Genomic DNA, 27800 nt, shown 5'->3' with positions numbered 1-27800 from the left:
GAGCATATTAAAAGATGCTTAATATCATTAGTCATTAAGTAAGTGCAAATTAACACCACAATGAGATACTACTGACCACCCAACAGTGAGTCTACAATGAAAATAACTGACCATACCAGGTATTGGTGAGGATGTGGAACAACTGGAATTGTCATTCACCACTAGTGGAAATTGAAGTGGCTCAGCCACTCTGGAAAAAATTTGGACAGCTTCTTAAAAAGTTAAACACACATCTACTGTATGATCCAGCCATTTCACTCCTAGGTATTTACACAAGAAAAGTGAAAACATATGTTTGAATGGAACCATAGAAAAATTTGTATACAACTATTTACAGCACTTTTATTTGTAATAGCCAAAAACTGGAAATTATGCAAATGCGCCATCAGCAGGAGAGTGGATCAGCAAATGTAGTACATCCATTCTTCAGGAATGAAAAGTAATGGATACATACAGCAACATGAATGAATCCCAGAATAAAAAAGTAAAAAAAAAAAAAAAAAGCCAAACAATAAAAGAGTAAATACTCTGTGCATAATTTCATTTATATAAAATTTTAGAAAATGCAAACTAATATATAGTGACAGAAAGCAGATCAGTGGTTACCTGCGCTGGGGAAGGGGAGGTAGGAAGAATTAAAAAGAGGCATGAGCATTATCCAAAGCGAAATTAATACAGAAATAGAAAACCAGATACCACATATTCTGACTTGTAAGTAAGAGCTAAACGGTGAGTACACATGGACACAAAAATGAGAACAATAAACTTTGGAGATTCCAAAAGTGGGGAGGGTAGGAGTGGGGGAAGGGTTGAAAAATTACCTATTGAGTACTATGCTCATTACTTGGGTGACTAGCTCATTAGAAGCCCAAACCTCAGCATCACACAATATACCCATGTAACAAACCTGCACATGTACCCCCTGAATCTGAAATTTAAATAAACGAATAAAAAGAAGCATGAGGAAACTTTTGGAGGTAATGGACATGTTTATCATCTAGCTTGTGGTGATGGTTTTACAGGGGTATGCATACATCAAAACCTATACACTTTTTTTTACTTTATTGTGGTAAGAGCACAACATGAGACCTACCCTCTTAGCAAACTTTTAAATGTACAATATATTACTATGGACTATTATATATTTTTATGCACTTAAATATATGCTGTTTGTTTTATGTCAATTATACTTCAATAAAGCTGATAAAAATTAAAATTAAAAAACCTCTTTTTGCTTAAAGATTTCATTAGCTAAATAGAGGAAGCATTGCCAAGTATGGCGAGGATATTTTTGTTTTATATTGTTTCTTTTGATTATAAGCTGCAGTGATTTCTGATAGGGTTAGATTTCTCATTTTTCAGCAATAAAAGATCACTGTGTTAAAAGCCTGTTTCATTATTTAAAGACACTACAAATATTTTAATCAATTGTCTGGGAGAAAATAAAAAGTCCTCGTACCTCAAAAAGAAATTAGCTGTACCACATATCAAAGAAGGTTGCATAAAATTTTACGATGCCAATTGTTTTAAAATTCAGTAATTGGCAAGTGTATTCAACAGTTTGCAGATTTATCTCAGGTATTCTGACCCATTTATTAAATCAGGCAATTACAAAAGAGCACCACCAGTGAAAACATGCATTCTCATGAATAAAGATATATCCGCCACACTCAAGTACCTTTAATATCAGAGCTTCCATTTCTGAAGCTTTGTTTGTCCTTTTTGGCCTTTATTTTCAAAAGGTAAATGGCACAGCAGATTCTTTAAAGACAAAGTTACATTTCAATAAGCTGGTCTTGGGATTTGTTGTTCATGTTCTGTGCTTGCAGTTATTTATTGCTTTATAAAGGTTATAGGTAGGTAAATATGGCTAAAGGTCGATAAAACAGAACATTTTATGGAACACCCTATTGGTTTAACATATTACAACTTTTAGCATTTAAAATTATTTTAAAGGATGAATATCTTAGAGTTATGAGACCTGAGATATTCATGGCATATCTAAATGGGAATAGATGTTTTTCAAATACTGACAGAGAAGATCCCATTACTTGCTTTTGTAATCTAGCTTATGGTAATACTACCATAAAAGAAAGGTCTAAAAGTAAAATCCTGTTTATTCAGAATTCTGAGTAATGAGATTATAATAATTAAATATTGTGGCTTATAGGAATTGCCATATATTATATACCTGGATTTCAAATTTTTCAAATAAGTCAAATATAAAAGGCACTAAAATGAGACTCTACAATACCTAAAAAATTTTTGAAAAAAAACATAAAGTGAGAGGAATCACTCTATCTCAATGTTAAGACCTATTATACAGCTATAGTAATCGAATGGTGTGCTATTGATGGAGGAAAATGTGGGTAGTTTGACGGAATAGAATAAAGAACCCAGAAATAGCCTACCCTATGTCAATAGCCATATCCTGGTTGTTATATTATACTTTTGCAAGCTACTGCCATTAGGGGAGACTGGGCAAAGGGTACAAAGGATTTCTCTGTATTATTTCTTACAACTGAATATGAATCTCTAATTATCTCAACATAAAAAGTTTAATTTTAAAAAGACAACAAAAATAATTTAAAAAATAAAATATGTTTCTGGTTTGTTTTAAAATAAAATACAAGATTTTACAGTTTTGACAAGTGCTTTCATTATGAGGATGAGTTATACATAGGACTATAAAAAAGGTCTTCTTTTTTTTCTTTCTTTCTTTTTTTGAGACAGAGTCTCGCTCTGTAGCCCAGGCTGAAATACAGTGGCACAGTCTCGGCTAACTGCAACCTCTGCCTCCTGGATTCAAGCAATTCTCCTGCCTCAGCCTCCCAAATAGCTGGGATTACAGGTGTGCACCATGCCTGGCTAATATTTGTAGTAGAGATGGAGTTTCACCATGTTGGCCAGGCTGGTCTCAAACTCCTGGCCTCTAGTGATTCACCCACCTCGGCCTCCCAAAGTGCTGGAATTGCAGGTATGAGCCACTGCACTCAGTCAAAAAGGTCTTATTATATGAAATTTCTAGTTAATTGGGTTTTTAATGAATGGGCATTACCATACACATAATTACATTAATAAGACCTCTGGTAGTTCTGGCAATTACCCCGTAATCTTTTCCAGGGGCCAGGAAGGTAAGCCTTAGTTAGTTGTCAACCTGGAAAGCTGCTGGTGTCTCCATGTGCAACCTGTGTCTAGGTCATCTGTGCAGTTATCATGTAATCCAGTAAGAAAAAGATATTCTTCATCAGAGCACCAGAATACTTAGATTTTGCTGCATCTATTCCATAATCTTGAAATATATAAGTAACATTGTCAAGAATACACAAAATGGAAACAACTCATTAAAATGTTTACATGAAATTACTTTTGCACACTATGTAGGCAAGTAATCTAACCCAAAATGTTATAATGGATGTTATATTTGTGAAGGTTTGTTTTGGTTTGGTTTTTCCCTAAAGTAAGATCTTTCCTGTGTTTTAGAAGAGATTGATATTATAATAGTGAGCTGGTAAAAATGCAATACATTTTGAATTAGATAAAAAATTTTAAAACATGATCTCATAAACTTTTAGAGCTTTATCATTTTTTTCTGCCACTCCATTCCTACTGCAACCATCTTGATTCATGAAGAACCTTACCTCACTTGACTTGTCCGAACAATTTAAGCAGCTTAATGATTGTTTTGCCTCTGACCTATTTCTCACCTCTCACCCCTAATCCATCCTCCAGACTACCCTGGGTGATTTTCCTAATAAGCAATCTGCTCATACCCTCTCTGCTGGAAAACTAGTCATTGCTTCTGATTGCCTAAAATACAAAGTCTAAACTTTGCTTCACATTCGAGGTCCTCTGAAATCTAGGCCCAACTTACCTTGCTAGTCTTATACGTGCCTCTCCTAAATGCCCCTCCCATACTCTATACAGGCCATACTTTGTGTTGTCAGAACACACCATGCTTTTCCTCATGCAAGTTCTTCCATCTAGAATGTCCATATTTGTCTCTGCCTGGTTAATTATCTCACTTCCTCACTGAAGCTGTCCTCAATATCCTAAGACAGTTCATCACTTCTTTTTGCTCTCACAGGATTTTGTATGGAATAATAACTACTATTTACTGAGCGCTTACTAGGTACCAGGCACTGTGCCTAACTAAGCATTTTACAGACGTGATCTCATTTAATCTTCCCAGCAGCCCTATGAGGTAATCTGGCTTTTTTATGGTGTCTTCTCATTCATTGTTTTCCTGTCTGTATCCTCATTAGAAGAGACTAATCTTACTCATCTTATCTGAACCACCTCCTACTATAAAAGTCTGATCAAATTAGGCACTCAATAAATGTTTGTTGAGTGAATGACTGTTGGAATGAATCTAGTAAAATACACAAATTCAATAGGGCACTTTAAAAAGTAACTTGTTATAGAAGATTGACTTTACCATACTCGAATGCAGCCAGAACCCTGAGAATATGCTTCCTAATCCAAGTAGCTCTCTCCTTGCCTCTGGCATGCTGCTTGAAATCCCCATAGTCCTCAAAAATGCCTTCAATTTCTTTATTATTATTCTTACTGCCACCAACCTAGATTAGACCCTGTCTTGTCTCTTGCTTGATCTACTCATCCACTTTCAGAATCTGTCACTTTTATTACTTTATACGTTAGAAAAGATCCATCTTCCTAAAATACAAGTCAGATTATATATTTCTACACATGCGGTGGCTTGCACCTGTATCCTCATACTTTGGGAGGCCAAGGTGGGCAGATAGCTTGAGCCCAGGAGTTCAAGACCAGCCAGGCAACATGGCGAAACCCCGTCTCTACAAAAAAAATATGGAAATTAGCCAGGCGTGGTGGCGGGCGCCTGTAGTCCTAGCTACTCAGGAGGCTGAGGTGGAGGTGGTAAGGTAGAGGATCACCTGAGCCTGGGAGGTCAAGGCTGTGGTGAGCTGTGATTGTGCCACTGTACTCCAGCCTGGGTGACAGAGTGAGAGAGACTCTGCCAAAAAAGAGAAAGAAAGGAAGAAAAGAAAAGAAAGAAAAGAAAAGAAAAGAAAGAAGGAAGGAAGGAAGAGAGAAAGAAACAAAGAAAGGAAGAAAGAAAGGGAAATAAAGGAAAGAAAGGAAGAAAAGAAAAAAGAGAGAGAGAGATTATATATTTCTCTTGCTCAAAAAACATACCTTTTCTAGGAGTCTTTTCTCCCAGCCTGAATTTCAGAAATCTCCATAGTCTGGCCCCAGATTTATCTACCACTGCATTCTAAATTGTGTAGTCCAATCAACCTGAAAGAGTCCCCATTCTTACCTCTATGTCTTCATTTATTGTAATCTTTCTGCCCATCTGGGCTGCCTCTTTCTCCACAATGTCTATAAAAATTGTATCTCTTCTGTGACGCTTTTCTAGAACACACCAGTCAGATATAACCACTTTTTCCCCCATGTGCTTATTCCACTGACAGCATGTAAGAGACATTTTGAATTTTAAACTATCTCGCATAGTCTAAATTTAGCTCTTTGAGCAATCAAGTATACCTTTTCAGTTAACTGCCTGCCTCATAAGTGATCTCCTTTTTTGAACGTGTCTTCTTCCCCATACCAGGTGAGTCCTCTGCAGCTGTGCTTCTACCAGATTAGCCTTTCTTGGAACATAAGCCAGTCAATCGGGAATGGAAACCTGATCATGCTGGGCTGGCTAGATTCTCTCTCCAGAGACTATGTACTTGGGACGACAAAAAAAAAAAGCTTTTTAACCTACGTCTGTCTCCTAAATGGAGGAGCTGGGAACTAGAGAGTTGTTGCCCACAACCAGTAGTAATATACCTGTGAGAGTGGGTCCCACCAGCATGACGTCTTTGCTTACATTAGTAAAGGCAGCCCTGGCCGGGTATGGTGGCTCACGTGCTGGGAGGCTGAGGCAGGCAGATTGCTTGAGCTCTGGAGTTTGAGACCAGCCTAGGCAACATGGGGAAACCATATCTCTATGAAAAATGCAAAAATTAGCCAGGCTGGCATGGTGTCATGCGCCTGTAGTCCCAGCTACTTGGGAGGCTGAGATAGGAGGATCGCTTGAGCCCAAGAAGTTGAGGCTGCAGTGAGCTGTGTTCACAAGACTGCACTTCAGCCTGGTGACAAAGTGAGACCCTTGTCTCAAAACAAAACAAAACAAAACAAAACAAAACAAACAAACAATAGAAAAAGGTAGCCCTCTAGGTAGGTGCAGCTTCAGATTCTGGGCCCAAATGTATAATGTGTGCAGTGACCTTGGGTAGCCATAGTACTGTCCTTTATAGCTACAGAGGCAGAAAGCTGGGCTGCTGAAAGAGCAGGATGGACCAGATATGTGAGGGCAAAAACAAAGAATAAACAGAGAGAGAGAGAGTACTTGAGAGTGTGCTGCTGTCGGTTCCTGTCAGCTTTCCTGATACTGGGTATAGACCCTATAGAAACACTGTTGCTTGTGTTTTTCTTGGGAAAATCCAGTATTCTTTCAATAAACTCCCTTTTTAGTTCAAGGGCAAAATAATTCCTGTTTTAGGCATCTAGTCCCTCAAGGCCCAGGGTAGCTTTTTAGAGTAACTAGCAATGTCAGGCATCTGGTGGACACATGTTGAATGTAGATTGGACCACTGGTTTTTAACCTTGACTGTAGATTAGCAATACCTGGAATGCTTTTAAACCTACCCATGCCTATGCCCTGGTTTCTCTTCAAAACGAATAAACCTACCCACGCCTGCATCACACGGGAGACCAGTTGAATTCAAACCGGGTTAGATGAGCGGGCACACACATTGATATTTTTTAAAGCTTCCTTTAACCCATTTGAGATCAGGGTTTATCTTCATTTGGTTAGATGTTATAAAACTATATATACTGAGGGAGAGCTGGTACCATACTAAGCCATTTTCATTTACTAACTCATCTATGTTGAATCAGTTATCAGATTATACCATCTGAGGAAAGACTCGAATAGTTAGGGTAAGGGTTGCATTGGGAGCGGTGGAGGCAAGTGTATAAAACAAAGGAAGGACGGGCACAGAGTTTAGTACATATTTGTACCAAACAGCAAATTACCAGGGCACAAGGAGTAGCTGCATAAGCCAGCAGCTGATCAAGCAGAAGGAAATGGGGTTACCATCATCTATTTCATTTCAAAAATATGAAATTCTAATTTTAAAAATATATATATTTTTTAAATTTGCTACAATTTTAGTTTGAAGGTCAAGCCAAGACAATGTGACATCCTGATGAGATCAGCATAATCTCTAGGTCAGCATTAAAGCCCTTTATCTAATTATTAGTTCTATATCAATAATTTAATGAGAAATGATGTCATTATTAGGAAGCAGCATAAACTTCTAAGAATACTAAAATGTATATTTTTAAGGCTCTTTTCTTGATTTTTCCACACCTCTCCCTGAAAGCAAATATGACTACATCCTGCTTAAAATGTTAGTACTGTGCCTCTTCTTAATGTATTGTCTTGTATTGTGGCTGTTTCAGTGCTTGTCTTTTGCCTTCTATTAATTACAAGCTCCTGGAGAAAGCAGTCATGGTTTTAACCTTTGTAGCCCCCATAAGAACCATTCTTCAATTTACAGCATGTTACTTTTATGTGTTGTGTTAGACATATCAGTTAGGCCTACGTTCTGCTGCAAATAATGGTAAACCCTACCACAGTGGCTGAAACTATGGCTTTATTTTTCTCATATAACAAGAAATCCAGATATAGGCAGGCCAATGTTGGTGCAGCTTCTCAAGGAAGCATTAGGGACACACATTCTTCTCACCTTCCTGCCTCTGCTGTCCTAAGTATTTAGCCTGTCATTTTATGGTTACTAGTTACCTGCTGTACCTCTAGGCACTGCATTTGTTGAAGGCAAGAAGGAGACAGGTTCAAAAGACCAAAAGGGGCTGGGCACAGTGGCCGTCTGTGTAATCCCAGCATTTTTGGAGGCCAAGGCTGGAGGATTGCTTGGGCTTGGGAGTTCGAGACCAGCCTGGTCAACATGGTGGGATCTCGTCTCTACAAAAAATACAAAAAAATTAGCCAGTTATGGTGGCACATGCTTGTAGTCCCAGCTACTCGAGAGGCTGTGGTGGGAGGATCACATGGGCCTGGGAGGTAGAGGCTGCAGGGAGCTGTGCGATTGCACCACTGCACTCCAGCCTAGATGACAGAGCAAGACCCTGTCTCAGAGAAACAAACAAACAAAATAAAACAAAAAGACCAAAAGGAACATTCCAGTCCAGTCTATCCTAAAAGTTTTCCTGGAGTCCCAGCCAGTAACAGCTCGTTGATCAGAACTAGACACATGGTTACTCCTGGGCCAATACTGGAAGATGTCTAGGAAGAAAGAAATTGTGGATAGGGTTGGGTCAGCCAGAAACATTGTACCACAAGGTTTGAGTCTAATTGGAGCTGAAAGGAATACAAAGATTATTTGGCACCCCCTACTGAGATCTGACAGTGGAGAAGACAGTGGCACAGAAATGTCTGAGATCCATAGCCAGGTAATGGTAGAAGAGAGACTAACCAAAGATTCAGTTATTATAATTCCTAGGCCATTTCACATTCCATGTAGCTATACATGGACCATTAGAACTACCTGTTTTAGAAGCTACAATTCATTTCCAAAGATGGAATTTAGAACATTGGAACTTTATTTCAGCTGTCTGCAAAATAACCTCCCCCTTCCTATAAATCTTCAAAGCAACAAGTGGGAAGAAAGATCCTGCAGTCCTCTGACTTGAAAGAAGACAAAATAAACTGTTCAGAATTTGTGTAGGACATGTCCTTCATCAGCTGTCCTCTTGCTCTTTATAATATGGGAGGTTGTTTTTAAAATCTCGAATGCATAACAAATTCAATAAACAATGAACATTCAAAAGTGTTCAAGTATAATCCCAGTTTGCTCTTCTTCCTTAGTATACACTGCCATTTAAATTTTTTCCTAGAAAAAAATTTTAAAAACGTATTGTTGCTATCAAATGACCTTAATCCTGGTCCTTGGCCAAAAGCTAAACAAAACAAAAAAGGCTTTACTAAGTGCATACCATTGAGAGAATTATCAATCATAATTTTTTAGTTTCCCTGAATGACCAGTTCTAGCTCCCTAGACATGATATGCACATTGCAGCAAGAAAAATAAAAATGTGTCTCCACTTTAAACAACTAATTTTCTACAAAAGTGTTGATTATTACTTGTCTATAGCTGTGTGACTTTTAATCATTATGAGTGTTAATCAAGCACCACTCATACATCTTTGTGAAGTATGATAGTTTCAGTTCCTATCCTCTAAGAACGTACAATATGATATGTCAAAAATAGAAGCACGCAAGCTAAATTTAAGCTGGGTATAGTAGAGACTCTTTATATAAACATGTCATTGGAAGCTCTTCTAATACCACCATTATAGGCTGCCAGTGTTATAATAAGCTTTTTTCATCACAGTAAAAATGAGAGTCAATAAAGTCAGGTTTATACAACTAAAGTTTAAAGCTACTCAGACCAAGGTTCACAACCCATACTATTATAGACCAGGATATTTTACTTCTTTGAGATCAGTTCTCATCTATAGTGGGGGTAAAAATAAAAGGCTCCAGTTATTGAATTATAGCAAGAATTAAATAAAATAAGCTTAACATAGTTTCCCACAAATAGTAAGTGCTGAATAAGTAATAGCTATTGTTATGTTTAGGTTGATATAATTAAACAAGACAGTAGATACATGTCTTTGAAACAGTAAATCATGTTAAAACAAATCAGTTGTATTTTTATCATGTTCAAACATGTTTGAGCCTAGATTATGTGGACTTATAATTTTTCATAAATATGTCAGTAGCCTTATACATATATGTTTAGCATATATGTTTTTATATCATTCATCCATCTGCTGTAATGTGCAGCTATTTTATACCACTTTAAGGATTTATTCAGCAATAATCTGGCTACTACCACCAAACTCTGTTAGGGAGAATGATTTCTATGAGAATTTTACTTCATAGGCTATCATTTTAAATAGAGGGAGGTGCAGCAAAAAGATGTTTTATCATAAATTTTGTAATAACCCTACATAGTTTTCCCAAGTCAATTTTAATCTGTTTGGGGTGTGTAGTTTATCGGTTATATTTCAGTTTCCATGTCAACAGATGCAATCATTGCATACACATTCTGCAGCTGGGTAGACAGGCAGTCTCCTCTGAGACTTCAGCTTGCAAATAAAGCAGTGTGTGAGTAAGAGGCAAGCATTCTTCTCCAGGAGACTTAGCACTGCACTTCTAGGATACCAGTCTCAGGTGATAGCCAAAGCAAGGCTTCCAAATACAGCTCTTTCTCCAGGTTTCTCATGGAACAATTGAGACATCTTTAACCAGGGCATAAAGACACTTCCACTTCTGCTTTTAGAATTTGGTAGTTAGGTTAAATAAAACACAATGAAAAACTGTACACTAAGTACCTGGTTCTCATCCATCTCTTAGGATTTCCTGTGTTTCTGAAGTGGAAATTTATAAAAACACAGTTGAGTTGTTCTGAAAATAAAACTTAAATGATGAAAAATAAAGTCGTAGAAATCACCGCAAAAAAAGTAGGAACCAAAGAAACTTCTGTAACAAAAATTACCTAAGATTCTTTCATGATACTGTGAAACTGAGATTCTGCATTCATTTGAGCTACTTCTAAACACAGTGAAATATTTTATATGTAATTGATGCAGTTAAAGGAAAAATAATTTTACTTTTTGTTACGGAAAATTTTCAAACGTACACAATATTAAAAAGAATAATGAAATGAGCCTTTATATACCCACCTCCCAATTTATCAGTTATCAATATTTTGGCACTTGTTTTATCTATATACCCCGCACAAATTTTTTGCCAGATTTTATCAAAGTAAATCATGTAATTTCACTCATAAATATCTACATCTCCAACTGATAAAGATATTTTTTAAAAAGTAACGGTTATGCTGTCATCTATAACAGCTAAAAAATGAACAATACCTAAATATTTAAAAATTCTATTTTAAGTTAATAATATAAAAGAGATTGATGTTGACAGTTGTATATTATGTTAAAGTCATAAATAAATTACTTCCATAAAAAATTTTAAATTATTTATTTTTTCCACGGAGAACAAAATACTTTGTAAACATTGTTTGTTGTCCTGGGTTTTTCTCACTCTTTTTCTAGAGGAGGGATATATAAACTTCTAGTTAGTTCTTGTCATTTTACAATAACAAGGATACCCGTTAAAGAAGCTAATCTTTGCTAACTGACATAACATCGGGGATTCTCTGATTCTGTCTTCAGTTCCTCTTCAGTTGGCCCAGAAGTAAGTACCAAGAAGTTATCATTTCCATATGACTGTCATTGCTTAAAACTAGCTAGTATGAGCAGGACGGTGGCCATGGAAGTCGAAATTCGCTAAGGAGTGTCAAACAACTCACCTGCCGAATCAACTAGAAGAGAAAAAGAAGAAAAAACAAACAAACAGAACTAGCTAGTATGTTCATGAAACCTATCTGTTTCATTTAAGGCCATTGACCAAGCTGTTTCTCCATGAAAACCTTTCTCTTAGAACGACTCGTGTTCCATTTGTGGAGTACCAGTCTGCCTTTGCCTTTCCACTTATCAACTTCTGTAGAGGGTCTTTCTGATGTTTCCCTTGTCAATGTGTTTGTGGCTTCTCTGCCTCTTTCTTTAGCTTTGGGGATGTCTTTATCTGCCTCATTTTTCTTTTTCCCCATTTTCATCTTTTGTTTCCTCTCTAATCTCTGCTTCTCCTTCCTAGTTGTTAAATTTATTGAATATTAGGCGATATTTCCTATTCTTAATCTTCAAAATAGATGACAGAGGATAACAGACAGACATGTAAAATGTAAAACTACAAAACTCCTAGAAAACAAAATCGGAGAAAACTTAGATGACCTGGGGTATGGCAATGAGTTTTTAAATACAACACCTAAGGCACAATCCATGAAATAAATAATTGATAAGACAGACTTCAGTAAAATTCAAAACTTCTGCTCTGTGGAAGACAATGTCAAGAACATAAGAAGACAAGCCACTGAATGGAAGAAAATATTTGTAAAAGACATATCTGATAAAGGACTGTTACCCAAAATACACAAAGAAATCTTGAAATTCAACATTAAGAAAAGAAACAACCTGATTTTAAAATGGACCAAAGACCTTAACAGACACATCATCAGAGAAGCCATATAGATAGCAAATAAGCATATGAAAAGATGCTCCACATTACATGTCATTAGGGAAATGGAAACTTAAAAATGAGGTAACGCTACACATCCCTTATATGGCCAAAATCCAGAATACCAATGACACCAAATACTGGCGAGTGGAGGAACAGGAATTCTCATTCATTGCTGGTAGGAATGCAAAATGGTGGAGCCACTTTGGAAGAAAATTTGATGGTTTCTTACTAAACAAACTTTACCATATGATCTAATAATCACAATCCTTCATATTTATCCAAAGGAGTTGAAAAGTTATGCCCACACAAGAATCCTTATGCAGATATTTATAACAGATTTATTCATAATTGCCAAAACATGGAAGCAACCAAGATGTCCTTCAGTAGGTGATTAGATAAGTAATCAGTAATCTATGGTACATCCAGACAACAGAATAGTATTCAGCACTAAAAAGAAATGAAGTATCAAACCATGAAAAGACTGAAGGAAACCTAAACGCATGTTACTAAGTGAAAGAAGCCAAGCTGAAAAGGTTGCATACTGTATGATTCCAACTACATGACCTTTTGGAAAAGGCAAAACTATGAAGACAGTAAAAAGATCAGTGGTGCCAGAGTTTGGAAGAGGAGAGAGGGATGACTAGGTGGAGCACAGGGTATTTTTAGAGCAGTGAAGATACTCTGTGGAATACTGTAACGATGGATACATATCATTATACATTTTTCCATAGAATGTACAACAACGAGAATGAATCCTGGGACTTTGGGTGATTGTGGTGTGTCAATGTATGTTCATCAATTGTGACAAATGTGCCAGTCTGGTGTGGGATGATGATAATGTGGGATGTGGTGCTCAAGTGGAGGCAGGGAAGTGGGGGAATTTGTATAGGAGATATCTGTATCTTCCTCTGCATTTTGTTGTGAACCTACAACTGCTGTGTAAAAGACTCTTTAAAAATAAGAAATAGATAAAACAAAGTCCTTTAAAAAATTAATTTAAAAATAGATGAGATAAACATTTGGGGCTTCTCTAAAAGAAAATAAAATTGTTTTTCACTTATTTTTTTTTCTTCTTTCAGACTGGTAGCTCTCTTAGCATGTTTTGTTAGAATACATATTTAAGCATTCTAGTAGTTAGCTAGCTATACATTGTATGTTTACTGAAGATGATTTCCAAAGAGCTCTAAGCAGTTTTGTAACTGGGAATTTTATTCATTCTCATGGCATGCGTGCTCATAGGACAAAATACATTGTATGATGCTCTGATATTTGGAAAGGGTCATATGGTTTAGAGAGCTTCAAAACATCACTCAGCAGATGAGTGCAGTCCCCTTGCTAGTGCTCAGTGTTTTACCTAGAAAATTTGTAGTTATTCCAATTGGATTATGTCATTAAATACAGATCTTGTCAGCCTTGTTAAACCCTTACATCTAGAAGGTGTCTTAGAGACTAGCCTAAAATTCTTTCATTTTATTCATTGGGAAATTAAGACTAAGGGAGGCCAAGGATTGCCTAATAAGTTGGAAATGGAGTTAGAACTAGAATCTCAGTTTCCTGACTACCAGTCCAGTACTTTCTAGAACTTTCCCTATAATTTTGGGAAATACGGAATATGTTGCATGGTGTGAGAGGGCAGTGCTTGCTCTCATCAGTATAACACGCTTTGTGAGTTGTTTTCCCAGGGTCCCTGATCCTCCCACACTCTTTAAGCCAATGGGGTCTAGAACAAAGGATTACATTAGGACAGTGGCTGGAGCAAGAGTATGATGGAAGAAGGTTTAATTGGCTTTTGTTAGCATCATGCTGGAATGCAGCTAACGGTAATGTATTAATACGTCAGGATACCCTTGCAAGGGAATTTCAAAATAGAAAAATCTCTCAGTGGAGCAGAAAATATTGAAATAACTTGTAAAACAGCATTCAAGTTTACATCTGTGAAAGGGAAAAGATGTCCATTCTTTCCTCCACCTTTAATGATTCACTGCATTTGTTGGCCTAAAGCAGTTGTTGTCATTTTTATTCTGTTTCATTAGTAAGTCCCCAAAGAGCATGTCACTAGATTTGATTATATGATGACATGTAAATGAGAAAACATGCCACAATGTTTTTTGTGTGGATAAAGTGTCTTACTAATAACAATGGGGAAAATAATAATATGCAGGCCCTAAATACTTGTGGAAGTGCTTTAATGCCAATGCCTTTTGCTCTCCAAAAGCAACCTCAGGACATATGTTTTGGTTTTCAACTCTCAAAATAGATAAGCTGTATTTTAAGGCACTGTTTTCAAAATTATTAGCTTTATTTATATTTATGTTTAAAAGAACTCCCTTTAATAATATCATTTCAGAAACAAATAAATAATAATAAATGACATCATTTCATTGAGAGAGTAAACAGTCAACAATTCATTGTAGTTTTTAAATAGGTTAGAATTACAGTTACTGCTGAAAAATCACTGTTCTTCATTCCGTGTTTCCAATGAGAAAAATAAATCAATATTAGAAAATGTCATTTTGGTGAGGTTATTAACAACCTTAAATTACAGGGAGGTTCCTCTAAAGAGGAAAAAAGGATGATAAAACACGTCTACTTGAAATGGCTTCATAGTTTAAGCAAACAGCATAGCCAAAAAATGTCCCACCCAGCAGGAAATGGTAACAGCCTTAAAATAGTCCAGAGCAATAGACTGTTTCAATAAAAAGTTAGGGAAAAAAATCAACCCACGACATCAATTGAATTTTGACTGAGACTGTCAAAGATTTGGGCTGGAAAAACATAATGCTAGGGAATCTAAAACCCTTAAACAGTAGTGGAAAATGCAGACCCTTGGGGAAAAAAATGTAGGATAATGCATAAAAATAAGGTATGGATACTGATCATATGTTGTAATTCCGTGTTTTTCTCTCACATTAAGCTTTGAGTATAAAACTGAACAATGTCACAATATAGCTACTTTATTCAGTCTTACTAAAATATACTCACTAGAAGACATACTTCCAGATCTTTATACTTCACATCTAACTCATGCTGTGAACTACAAAAATATCCCGACACCCTGAAAAATGTTCGTAAATTGTAGTAGCTCCCCCCTCCCATTATAATATCAAACAATCAAGAAATATAAATAGTATGTAGTCACAGAAGTTTATATAATTGAAAGAACTGAGAACTTCAAAGTTGGTTTAAATGTTTATATCCTAGTTGCCAGTCCATGGGCTTGGATAGGTTATTTACTTTCTCTGAGCCTCAGTTTTCCTTATCTATCAGATGGGACTAAGAATATTTACCCTATTGGGTCTCCTTTACCACTTAAGCAAGATTACATATATCTTAGTGCATGATAGATGCTCAGTTAATATTTGTTTCTTACATTTTTCTGATTAGGATGCAGCTGGAATTAAAACCTAGAATTTTTTTTTTTTTTGAAACGGGGTCTCGCTCTGTTGCCCAGGCTGGAGGGAAGTGGCATGATCTTGGCTCACGGTGACCTCTGCCTCCCGGGTTTAAGTGATTCTCCCACCTCAGACTCCCCAGTTGCTGGGACCACAGGCAGCGCCACCAATCCCAGCTAATTTTTGTATTTTTTAGTAGAGATGGGGTTTCACCATGTTGCCTAGGCTGTTCTGTAACTCCTTAGTTCGAGCCATCCGCTGGCCTCAGCCTCACAAAGTGTTGGGACTACAGGCATGAGCCACCGCACCCAGCCTAAAACCTGGACATCTTAAAAAGGAGGCTGGGCTGGGCACGGTGGCTCAGGCCTGTAATCCCAGCACTTTGGGAGGCCAAGGCAGGCGATCACAAGGTCAGGAGTTCAAGACCAGCCTGGCAACTCCATCTCAAGAAAAAAAAAAAAGAAACAGGGCAGTGCTTTTTCCCCACAGATTACACAGACTGTTGTGATAAACTGGAAGGCCACCCTGGGAAGAAGGCTGGGGAATAAAGATTTGTCTAAAGAAAAAGAAGCCCTAATAAATTTTAGACTGTTCAGATGGATAGTGTGATAAGCAAGAAGATGGCTGTGTATGTATTAAGCATGGAAATGATGTGGCACCCCCTGTGTCTCTGACATCTAGTGTATCATAGGAATCTTGGTGGGTACACAAGTACTCTAACACACTGGGCTGGGTGGTGTTCTGCATTGCATTTTAATCTTTTCTTGCAAATCTCAATTTTTCTCAATGAAGCCTGGTAACTCTTTTTTTTTTGTGGGGACAGGGGAGTGGTTCTTTAGCAATTTAATTCTCAATGTATGCTGTTGTGACATTTGTTTTACAAAACACAGGTAACAGTTAAGGGACTAGTTAGCATTTGTATAGAATACCGCCACCTTTTGGTTAGATTTCAATGAGAAAGGCAGATGCTTTAAGTGAGCTATCTGAAAATACGTTTTTACAAAACTGATTGGGCCAGGCAAGAGCTATCTCAAATACATTTACTTTTATATAACAATCCTATTCATGGTTGGATATAGCATTGTCTGGTCAAGATAAGAGTGTTTCCTCTTATTTTCTACATACTCAGTTTCTGAAAGTGCTCTGGGAATGCCACTCATTCGGCAACAACTGGATAAGCCTAAATTGGTAGTTGTTGTCCTATGATATGGAAGGTTAAAGTCACTGTGGATGGCCATTCCTACTTAAGAGATGATGTTTTGAGAAAACTAATATATCCTCATCAGCTAACTGAAGCTTCACCATACTTACTGCGTGTCATCACTCAGACATTGCCATGCGAGGTTTGTATTTTTTAATTTTATTTCTGGGCCTATCTTTAAGAGCTTGCTTTACATTTATCACCAGCTTTTTACAGATGAGAAAATTTCAACTTAGGTTAAACACAGGAAAAGTCACAGCTTGAGTGGGACAGAGGTGTCTTGGAAACCCTGTCTGATGACTCCAGAAACCATTCTCAGAAGATGTACGTTGTATTCCTGAAATAGTCATAATTTATTTCCCCTGATGTCAACTCATCTTCTAAAGTAGAAAACAAGAACTGCCATGGCAAATCAGTGGGAGGCTGACCCTGTCTTCCATTCTTTCTTCACCTGCCCACTCTTGAAAATTCCACGTGCTCCAATGACTTCAATCTACCCACTTATTCATCCTGCAACCCCTACCTTAGCCTCTCTCTCTCTCTCTTTTTTTGAGACAGAGTCTCACTGTCACCCAGGCTGGAGTGCAATGGCATGATCTCGGCTCACTGCAACCTCTGCCTCCTGAGTTCAAGCGATTCTCATGCCTCAGCTTCTCGAGTAGCACGCCACCATTCCGGCTAATTTTTGTATTTTTAGTAGAGACAGGGTTTCACCATGTTGGCCAGACTGGTCTCAAACTCCCAACTTCAAGTGATCTGCTCGCCTCAGCCTCCCAAAGTGCTGGGATCACAGGCATGAGCCACTGCGCCTGACCCCTTAACCTCTCTCTTAAATTCAAATTCCAAACCCACATCAGTAACTTCTGGCTAGAATATTTCACCATTACAGAGATTAAACTTGACTAAAGTGGATGCTCCTTTTTCTGAAATAATTTTCCCTTCCTAACTCTCCCTAAATCACTCCTGATTTTTCCTTCTTCCTCTTCCCCCACATCATCTCAGTTACATAATCCAATTAGTTGGTTAATTGATTTAGCTCTTAAATATTTATTGGATGCTCATTTTGTCCCCAAGCACAGGGCTGGGAGCTAAGAATTTATCAACGCAAATCCCTGCCCTTGAATGGATTTCAGATTCTTACTTAATGTCTTTCACATTCAATACTTTCTTTCCATGCCCACTGGCAATGTTTTAATCTAACTCCTTGTCTTGTCAGGGCTGGTCCCTTGCAGGAGTTTCCTAGCTGGTGGTTTATCTGCTTCTATTCTCCCTCCTTGTCCCCAGGCTCGCCCCCATTCTTAGACAGTACCTAACCTTTCTATTTGTTACTAGCAGGAAACTCTTTCTGAACCCTACTTGGGAAGGTTCTTCTTTGCTCATATGCCATTAATTGTTGTTATTGCTGGCAGAATTATGTTCAAACCTATTAGTCTGTGTTTTAAGGATCTTTACAATCTGCTCCTCCATTTTCAGCCCTACTTCTTACCATAGGAATAGTTATTAAAGCATGGTCTTAGATTCCTTCAATCAGAATCACATAGGTATCTTATTAGAGATACAGATTTCTTGTCTGCCAGTGAATCACTATCTTGCGCTACATCTGAGAAATTGGAAAGCAGTCTCTGACATCCAGGAGCTGGCTGGGCTTCGCAGTGAGGCCATGATGTACTTCTGTTGAACACAAGTAATTTCACAGAATGCCAACATTAGACAAGGCTCTTTGGTGATCATGATGACCAATCTGTAATCAAGAAGAAACACAGACAAAAACAAGAACATTGTGCAAACCAGAAGAACAGACAAATATCCCCCATCCTGGTGAGTATGACTGCCTGTTGCTTCTTTACCAACTACAGTTTCAGCATTCTTTGGTTTGTCCCACCTTCTAGATAAAAATTATTAAGATAATCATAGAAGCGCCTCTGTTTCGTGACAGCACCTAATCCAGAGGAAAAGCCTGTTTCCTTGGACCCTCCTCAAGTTCACCTAGTACAATTCCAAATCCTTTTTAACACCTTTTTATGGAGACACTCCATGGGTTACCCATGGTGTGTAATTTTTCTCTTTGTAATTAATCCTTCAACTACAGATATGTCCCTGGTGGGCTTTGGCTGGAGGGCATTTGACAGATCACATGAATTTTCATTTTACTGAGCTCCTAAAGTAATTCTGAAGTTGAGATTGAGAACCACTGCTACAACCAAGCTGTTGTCTATGTTTTTCTGTAAACAAGTCATATGCATTCTTACTTATCTAATCCTTCTAGCCTTCAAAGGTAACTTATTTTTTGTTTTGAGACAGGGTCTCACTCTGTTACCCAGGCTGGAGTGCAGTGGCACAATCATGGCTCACTGCAGCCTTCACCTTCCAGGCTCAAGCCATCCTCTACCGCAGCCTCCCATGTAGCTGGGACCACAGGTCTGTGCCACCAAACCTGGCTAAATTTTTAATTTTTTCTTTTTTTGTAGAGACAGGGTTTTCCCATGTTCCCAGGCTGGTCTCCAACTCCTGGGCTCAAGCATTCCTCCCACCTCGGCCTCCCAAAATGCTGTGATTAAAGATGTGAGCCACTGCGCTGTGCCCAAGATAACTTATGTCTTCCTTCATCACTGAGGGTCCCTGAGCTGCCATCTCACATCATCTCCCCTTCACTGAACTCATACCAGTGACACCCACTTGGAACCAAGTACAGACATTGTATTGCTCCTCACCCTTTAACATTCAGTTCATGGCCTTCCTCTAAAAAACTATGGCTGTTCAACACCAGACCTTCAGAGAAAAAGCAATTCCAATCGCATCTTCCTGAACCCTGCTTCGCAAAGTCACTTTTTGGCTCATACATCTTTTGTGACTGCTATTGCTGGCAGAATAAAGTTCAAACATTTCAGCCTGTTATGAATGAACAAGCTGGGCTGTTTAATATCAGACACTTCAGAGCAAAAGATAAGAAAGAGAGTGAGTTCTAGAAATACTGTCTCTCTGCCAGGGCCAAACCTAGGAAGAGTCCCCAAGGAAGGTTCCAGAGGACAAACAGGAGATGAAAAATCTGGCTTTGATGAATATGAAGGAGGACGGTAATAAATGAAGAAATGAATGAAAAAGAATGAATGAATGCTTGTGCTCCTAGTGAATTATTTATCATCAGACAAGCTTGAATAGCCCTACATGCTGATTTCATTTCTTTCAGGTGTTTTATCTTTTTAAAGAAATTGTGTATGTAATAACTGGGCTCGTGGTGGTTATTATTGTTTGATAACCCCTTTTTACCTCCATTTACTTACCCCTTCATTCATTCCACAAATATTTTTAGGAGACTTTTCATGTGTGAGGCACTGTGGTGGGAACTGGCAGTACACATTTAATCGAGAAAGGTCACTGCTCATTGAAAGCCCAGAATTTATTGGTGGAAATAGATAATTAATTATGGAATTACTCTAAATTATGTTTAAAAAACAACTATTCAACTGCAAGGGAGGGACTCCTGGAATAAATTACTTTAAATGGACACCTAATGAATTAGAAAGAGTTAGTAATTTTACAAAATTGTAGTGAATCATATTTAAGATATGTATTAAGGTCTTTTTAAAATATGCTCTATATATCCACTTGTTCAAATGAAAATTTTTAAAACCCAAAGTTTTAGAAGTTATTTTCTAAGGTCTTACCTCCCTTCAATATACTGTAACAATTGCTAGCTGCCTGTTTTTAAGATATTGCATTTCTGCCGGGCGCGGTGGCTCATGCCTGTAATCCCAGCACTTTGGGAAGCCAAGGCGGGCGGATCACAAGTTCAGGAGATCGAGACCATCCTGGCTAACACGGTGAAACCCCGTCTCTACTAAAAATACAAAAAATTAGCCGGGCGTGGTGGTGGGCGCCTGTAGTCCCAGCTACTCGGGAGGTTGAAGCAGGAGAATGGCGTGAACCTGGGAGGCGGAGCTTGCAGTGAGCCGAGATCACGCCACTGCACTCCAGCCTGGGAGACAGAGAGAGACTCCGTCTCAAAAAAAAAAAAAAAATATATATATATATATATATATATATATATATATATATATATATATATATATTGCATTTCTGTCTCTCCAGCATTTTTGTGCTTTGAATCCTTTTATGTGAGTGCATTTTTCTATTTTGAAAAGCATACTGTATAAGAAAGTCCTATGGAGTCTTCTTTAGTAAGGAATATTACCTACTGCATAGTGTCAGATCAAAAAATAGGTCCTCCATTGGGCAATATCATGACACGTCACTGGTAGTGCCTTCAAACAATCCCAGAAGATGCCACAGCTTAAGTGTACTATTGTTCAATTACCTTTTTTCCTAGTACTGTACAGACTGTGTGAGTAGAAAATAACCAGAATGCAGAATCCATGTCTATCTGTTCCACGGCAGCACGTCTTTCCAACACCTAGCACCATTACTTGCGCCACATGGTAATATTCACAGCTTCAGGAAAATGACAATACATCTCCATAAGAACTGGAGAGAACATAACTAATAGTCTAGAGAGGCAGAAGAGGGTAGAAGCAAATAATCCAGAGGACCCTAAATCTCACTAGAGAGAAGACGGTGGCAACTTGAAATGATTCGTGCATGTTGATCCAAAATTCTTGTGGCTTCAGAGGAGGTATACAGAAATAAGTCCGTATAGACTCACATTTCGAATAAGAATAACTTGTGGTTGGAGGGGATTATTGAAGGAGACATGATCATTTCCTTAAGTAGCCTACAGTCTAGCTAGGAGACAGGACTAAAGAATGAGAAACAACCTGGTAGCAATTAAGGGCTAGACGTGAGGTGCTAAGAGCTCAAGCTAAGATGGTGGCAGAGAGAATGATGAGGAGGAAGAAGAACGTGCTTCTAGAATCTGGAGTTACATCCTTTTATATGCTGGCCCATGTCAATTTAGCCATTTAAAAATATTTCTAAAGGGTAACAATGATGCATATTTAACTGATTGAATGCTGATAACTATAACAACTTCCACATCCACTGTCTTATGGAGTCTTCCAATTTGTAAGGTAATTTTAGCTTCTCTCTAGCTGTGTCCATGCAGCCTTTAAGATTAAATACTGAGGTGTCTTCTAAAATGTGCCAATTTTGCTGTCTCTCTGATCCTGCAGGCTTGACATGCTGGCTATTAAGACCGACTTTAAGTGGCCTACTTAAACATAATATGTTTCTGTCTAGTCCTGTCAGTGAAGTGGATCCCTGGCTCTCCTTTCCAGGATGGGCTGGCATGTTATGACTCCTGCCCTTTCGTATTAGTTACCTATTGCTGTACAACAAATTGACCCCCAAATTTACTGGCTTAAAACAGCAAACATTTTTCTTACACAATTTCCCAGGATCAGAAATCTGGGAACAGCTTAGTTGGGTGGTTCTGGTTCAGTCTGTCATGAGTCTGCAGTCAAACTGTCAGTTGGGGCTGCAGTCATCCAAAGGCTTGAATGGGCTGGGAGGATCCACTTCTGAGATCACTCACATGACTGTTGGGCAAGAGGCCTCAGTTTCTCAATTCATGGGCCTCTCCATAGGATTGCTTATGACCAGGCAGCTGGCTTCCTCCAGAGTGAATGATCTTAGAGACAAAAAGAGAGGGAGAGAAAGAGAGAGAGACAGGGAAGGAGAGAGAGAGAGAAAGAACATACTTCCTTTTATGACATGCACCATTAGTTCTACCTTATTTTATTCATTCAAAGAAAGTAAGTCTAGCCCACGCTCCATTGAAGGGGATTACACAAGAATGAGAATACCAAGAGTCAGTGACCACTAGCGGCTGTTCTGAAGGCTGCATACAAAACACCCCTTTATAAAGTGACTGTTCAATTATTTATTTGAAGTTGTTATCTTCATTTTCACATGTATTTATTAACTCCCTCATGAAGTTAGAGTGAATGCTAATCTGTCTGCATGTGAAGCTATTTGAAGTTAATATTTTATACTTTAACCTCAAAATGAGAGTTCCTCTTCCTCCTACTGACAGATTTTACCCTTTTGAGAATGAAAATATACTTGTCTTTTCCCCCACTTATTATCTTCCACTGAAAGCTGTAGGTTACCATTTCTTTCTTATTTTGATTTGTAAGGTTGTCAGGATAACAGCACAAAGCATTTCTTATACTCACAATGTCAAAAAGAAAATAGAAAATTCTTTCTCCTCCTTACTGCCAACTGAAAATATTCATATCCAAATCCTTCGCCACTCAGTCAACAAGCCAAACCCTATTCACTGTCGAAGTGAGCAACTGCCAACAGTTTCTTCATTTATTCGTATCAAATAAATAAAGAACTGTACTAACCTGAGCATTGGTTTATTTTTTAAATAATTGAAACAATTTGGTGCTTGAGTCTTCAGTGTTTAAAGGAAGCAAAAATTAACCAACTGAAACATAACGTTATTACATATTACCATGGCTTGACTCTGGGCACGATTTTTTTGCAGCCAGAAATAAATTGAATATGGGAAGTCAAGGTCATGGCCTCTGGCACTCAGGAGTTTATAGTCAGGGAACATATCAGAGCTTGGGTCCTGAAACGTAACTGTTGTCAGTAAGAAAGCAAAGACTGTTGCTTGATACTTTATTATGAAGAAAAAAAGCAAGCAAGAAAGCAAAGACTGGCCTGATAACACTCTTCTTGCCTTTAACGAGGTTGTGTAGATTTTGTCCTTTCTTAAATTCATGTCTACTTTGACAGCACTGAAATTGTCTGATGAGGAAATAATGCTTTTAAAATACCCATTATGGGATTCTCAGACAGATCTCTCCTGCCTTTGTAGATTTTAGATAGATTCAAGTATATGAACAGATTGAAGACAGAACTGTATTCCATTCTCACTTCCATCACAGATGTGCTAACTTTGGCAACATCTCTGAGCTTAATTTCCTTAAAAGTGAAATAAGAATAATAAATATCTACACTTGGAGATATATTTTGATGATTGAAGTGTATTAAAATACTAGTAATAGGGCTCTCACATAGTAGATAGTCAAAAAATGTTGCTTCTTCTTCCTTTTGTGTCTAATCAAAATATGCTGGAAATAATTCTGCAAGAGAGATTTTCACAGAGTTGTTGCTTCATTTTCTGGCTCTACTGGAGAATATGGGTATGGAGGGGAGCTTTTCTACCTTCTGCATGCAGGACATTACGTTGTTAACTGTATTCCGAAAGCTTAAAAGAGAATTGGGCTGAATATTTAAGTACTCCCCAAAGTCAATGCAAGATATAGGAAATTATGCATATTAGAATGTTATGCTGCAACATGATACATTAAGTCCCGGTGAAGCTGTGGTTCCTAATTCAGACTGTATTAAGTTTCTCTGCTTAAATTTTATTATAGTGTAGATCATCGATATCAAGTGAATCAAGCCAACTATGAAAGCATCAGTAATAAGAGAAAAACATTTTAATGTATTAAGAAACCACTCTATGAAATTTTACACAAAACACACCACTTACTTCAGATACATTTGCTGGAAAGTTGCTAATGTTGAGTTTTATATTAATTTATGTTTACCAAATGCTTTGCAATCACCTTTATTACTCATCTTCAAAGACTTTTGGTAATGGATCAAACCAAACCACCAACCTGGAGAAGCGACTTTGCTAAAGTAGAAGGCACCATTACCCCGCATTACAATTGAAAATTTAGGATAACTTGGTCTGCAGTCTTTCGTAGAGCCCCTTTCACTGTCAAAATAACCAAGCATAGTCTTGAACCTTTTCACAAACATTCTATCTCCCATTAATTGAAAGCCATACTATCTCCTAAACTCCTTCTCTTTGCCCACAGAGCCAGGAAGAAGAATCAGCACACTCTACACTTTCTGCTCCTTCCAAGCTATTTATCATTCCACTAGAAACTTTCACTCAGATCCTTTTCCTACCAGAACTTAATGTAACCCTCTTCTTGTCATACCATCTTGGTTTCCTTGTTATAGCCATGCTTGATATATTTTTAAGCAATAACCCCAACTCTGCTTAGTCGTCTTCATCTCACACTACTCAAATTCACAAAGGACCAGTATATAAACCATGGTTCAACTTTAAAAATTAACAACGATACATATGACTATAAAGAAAACAATTACACATTGTAAAAATTAGGGCATTTAGTCCATGCACACCAATTTATAAGGAAGCCTCAGTAGAATCACAAAGCTGTTTGGTGAAAAGGAAGCAGAGTAGGTAAAGTTAGTTAGATGGTATTTCTAGTTTATGTCTTTCAGCTATAATTGCCTGGCACCCCTCTTCACTAAGGGCCATGCTGCTAAATAGACTGGATATTTGACCAGTTTATCAGGAAGCAATGTTTTGTAACTACACTGAAGGTACACAAGCTTCTATAGTCTTTTGCCTCCCTCTTACCAGAGCCCATATGCATGATTGAAAACGTGGGATATATTCTTTATCTATATCTTATCTTTTTTCCTTTCCTTCCTTCTTTCTTTCTTTTCTTTTTTTTTTTTTTTTTTTGTGACATGTTCTGGCTCTGTCACCCACACTAGAGTGCAGTGGTGCAATCCGGGTTCGCTCCAACCTCCATTCTGTGAATTTTTAAAGTTGAACCATGGTTTACATACTGGTCCTTGGTGAATTTGAGTAGCATGAGATGAAGAACACTGAGCAGAGTTGGGGTTATTGCTTAAACCTTGGCTCACTGCAACCTCTGCCTCCTGGGTTCAAGCGATTCTCCTGCCTTAGCCTCCCGAGTAGCTGAGATTACAGGCACCTGCCACCAGTCCTGGCTAATTTTTTTACTTTTAGTAGAGACGGGGTTTTACCATGTTGGCCAGGCTGGTCTCAAACCCCTGACCTCAGGTGATCTGCGCCTTGGCCTCCCAAAGTGCTGGGATTACAGGGGTGAGCCACTGCGCCTGACCAATGTCTATATTATATAATGATTTATTTTCCTAGGCTGGATACCCAGTAGTAGGATGGCTGGGTTGAATGGTAATTCTATTTTTAGTTCTTTGAGAAATCTCCACACTGTTTTCCATAGAGGTTGAACTAATTTATATTCCCACCAGCAGTGTATAGTATATTTTGTCTTTTCTTTAATCAATCAGCATTTGATTGGAATTAGGCATTCTTACTTATAGTCACCTTGATAAATCTTGCATGGTCCTGTGTCACCTTAACTATTCATTTACAGGTAACCACATCTATTGATGGTTATGCCATGTTATTTTTTAAAAATTCGCCATGAGAGGGTGTTGAGACACCTCTTGTGCCCTACCTCACATCCTGTTAATGTACTTCTAGCCCAGCTGTTGCTATGACAACCAGTTGTGCAAAAGTATGATGTGACAGCACCTTGTCTCCACTGCAGTGAAAATTTCTTGTTTTCTACATCAGGGAATTTTTGTTGTAGTACCTGTGGGTACCTTTTCAGCTATTTTGACTCACTCACAAACCTGGAAGTGTGAGTGAGTTAACACAATGAGGGGCAAGAGTCCCCCCTCATCCATCCCTTGAGTGGATAATGCTGAGGCGAGCTGCACAGAGCTCCTCAAACTGACCCCGTATGATACAACCATATTGGTTGATTGCCACATTTCTTAAGATGACTGTATTTTTTTTCCTTGGTTGAAAAATGTAGGATTTACAGATTTTGTTTTGTTTTGTTTTGTTTTTTGAGACAGAGTCTTGCTCTGTCACCCAGGCTGGAGTGCAGTGGCTTATTGCAAGCTCATTGCGAGCTCCGCCTCCCTGGTTCACGCCATTCTCCTGCCTCACCCTCCCAAGTAGCTCGGACTACAGGCGCATGCCACCAGGCCCGGCTAATTTTTTTTGTATTTTTACTAGAGACAATGTTTCACTGTGTTAGCCAGGATGGTCTTGATCTCCTAACCTTGTGATCCGCCAGCCTCGGCCTCCCAAAGTGCTGGGATTACAGGTGTGAGCCACCGCACCTGGCCAGAGATATTTTTATGTCCATTTTCACATTGGCAAGATGTGCCATCATGACTTTTAGAAGTGTTGTATCAGCTTTCAAATCAATATGAATATTTTTCAAAATGTTTAGGCCAATATAAAATATTTGGGCAATTTAAAACATAAATACGGCATGAGAAAAATTTTACTGAGAAAAATTAGTAAGTTCAATGTTAAGTTATCTGCATAATTCTGTTCAGTGTTTTCACATAAAAAGTGAAAAACTTGGAGATTTGCCCTTAGAAATTAGATATTTTTCTCCTTTTAATTTATAGAAACATGTTATGGAAACTAGTCACAAAATAAAATTACTACATTATAAATATAAAACATATAAAAGCCCTAGTACATGACATGTTCTTTGAATTTGCTTCAAGATGATTTTCTATTTAATACTTTCCCTTAAATATTGATAGAAAATCAGAGGTCAGCCAAACATCTTGGCAATGCTGAGAAATTATATTTTAAACGCAGTATGTAAACCCTCATTTTCATTTTCTAATCTTAATTCAGAGAAGATGGAAAATACAAGTATTTTAGTCCCCAAAGAAATATTAACTCCTCAAACTGGGCTGCTTTGGAATAAAAGTCCTGATGTGCACCCTGTGAACTCAGTTAATATCACTATGAGTACTGTAATTTTTGCATTTCCTGATTTGTACTAAAATTGCAAGTATATTAGTTTAATATTTTATAGGGGTTTTGGAAGACTGCTCTTGAAATTTTCAAGGTACAGGGTTGTCATTTATCTGGAAGGAAAATTCCAGCATCTGACAATAATTCTCTGTAATCTTTCACTTGGCCGAAGGCTCTGATTGGTTATAGCCATGGCTTTTCCTCACACACAAATTGAACAATTTCATGAGAGGTTCATTTTTTTCTCTTTTGCTCAAAATAACAAAACTCTATGCCATACTATCCCTTTGTCTTTGTCCTACGTTCACTAAACTAATAGGTCTAATCCCAGACATCTTGATTAGTTACCCAGTCACCACAGTTACTTTTAAACAGGGAGAGTTTTTATCTGAACACTCAACTTGGGCTTCATGCTCT

At 37.9% G+C, this 27800-nt stretch overlaps 1 long non-coding RNA gene across 3 annotated transcripts in view, besides 2 other annotated features; it reads left to right on the top strand.

The window, feature by feature from the left end:
* The window catches only part of LOC105375704 (uncharacterized), a 177474-nt gene that overhangs the window by 139650 nt on the left and 10024 nt on the right, over positions 1–27800 (top strand). The window lies entirely within an intron of this gene.
* Positions 16076–16661: an enhancer, noted in NCBI's record as "OCT4-NANOG-H3K4me1 hESC enhancer chr8:109299391-109299976 (GRCh37/hg19 assembly coordinates)". NCBI's record gives its function as "activates a minimal SCP1, AML or CMV promoter by ChIP-STARR-seq in primed H9 embryonic stem cells {active_cell/tissue: H9 hESC(primed)}" and the evidence as "EXISTENCE:reporter gene assay evidence [ECO:0000049][PMID:30033119]".
* Positions 16662–17245: an enhancer, noted in NCBI's record as "OCT4-NANOG-H3K27ac hESC enhancer chr8:109298807-109299390 (GRCh37/hg19 assembly coordinates)". NCBI's record gives its function as "activates a minimal SCP1, AML or CMV promoter by ChIP-STARR-seq in primed H9 embryonic stem cells {active_cell/tissue: H9 hESC(primed)}" and the evidence as "EXISTENCE:reporter gene assay evidence [ECO:0000049][PMID:30033119]".

This window comes from Homo sapiens, chromosome 8 (genome assembly GCF_000001405.40).
Source record: "Homo sapiens chromosome 8, GRCh38.p14 Primary Assembly".
NCBI classification, from domain to species: Eukaryota; Metazoa; Chordata; class Mammalia; order Primates; family Hominidae; genus Homo; species Homo sapiens.
The sequence above is the reverse complement of the archived record's forward strand: the minus strand, read 5'-3'. Positions and strand labels throughout refer to the sequence as shown.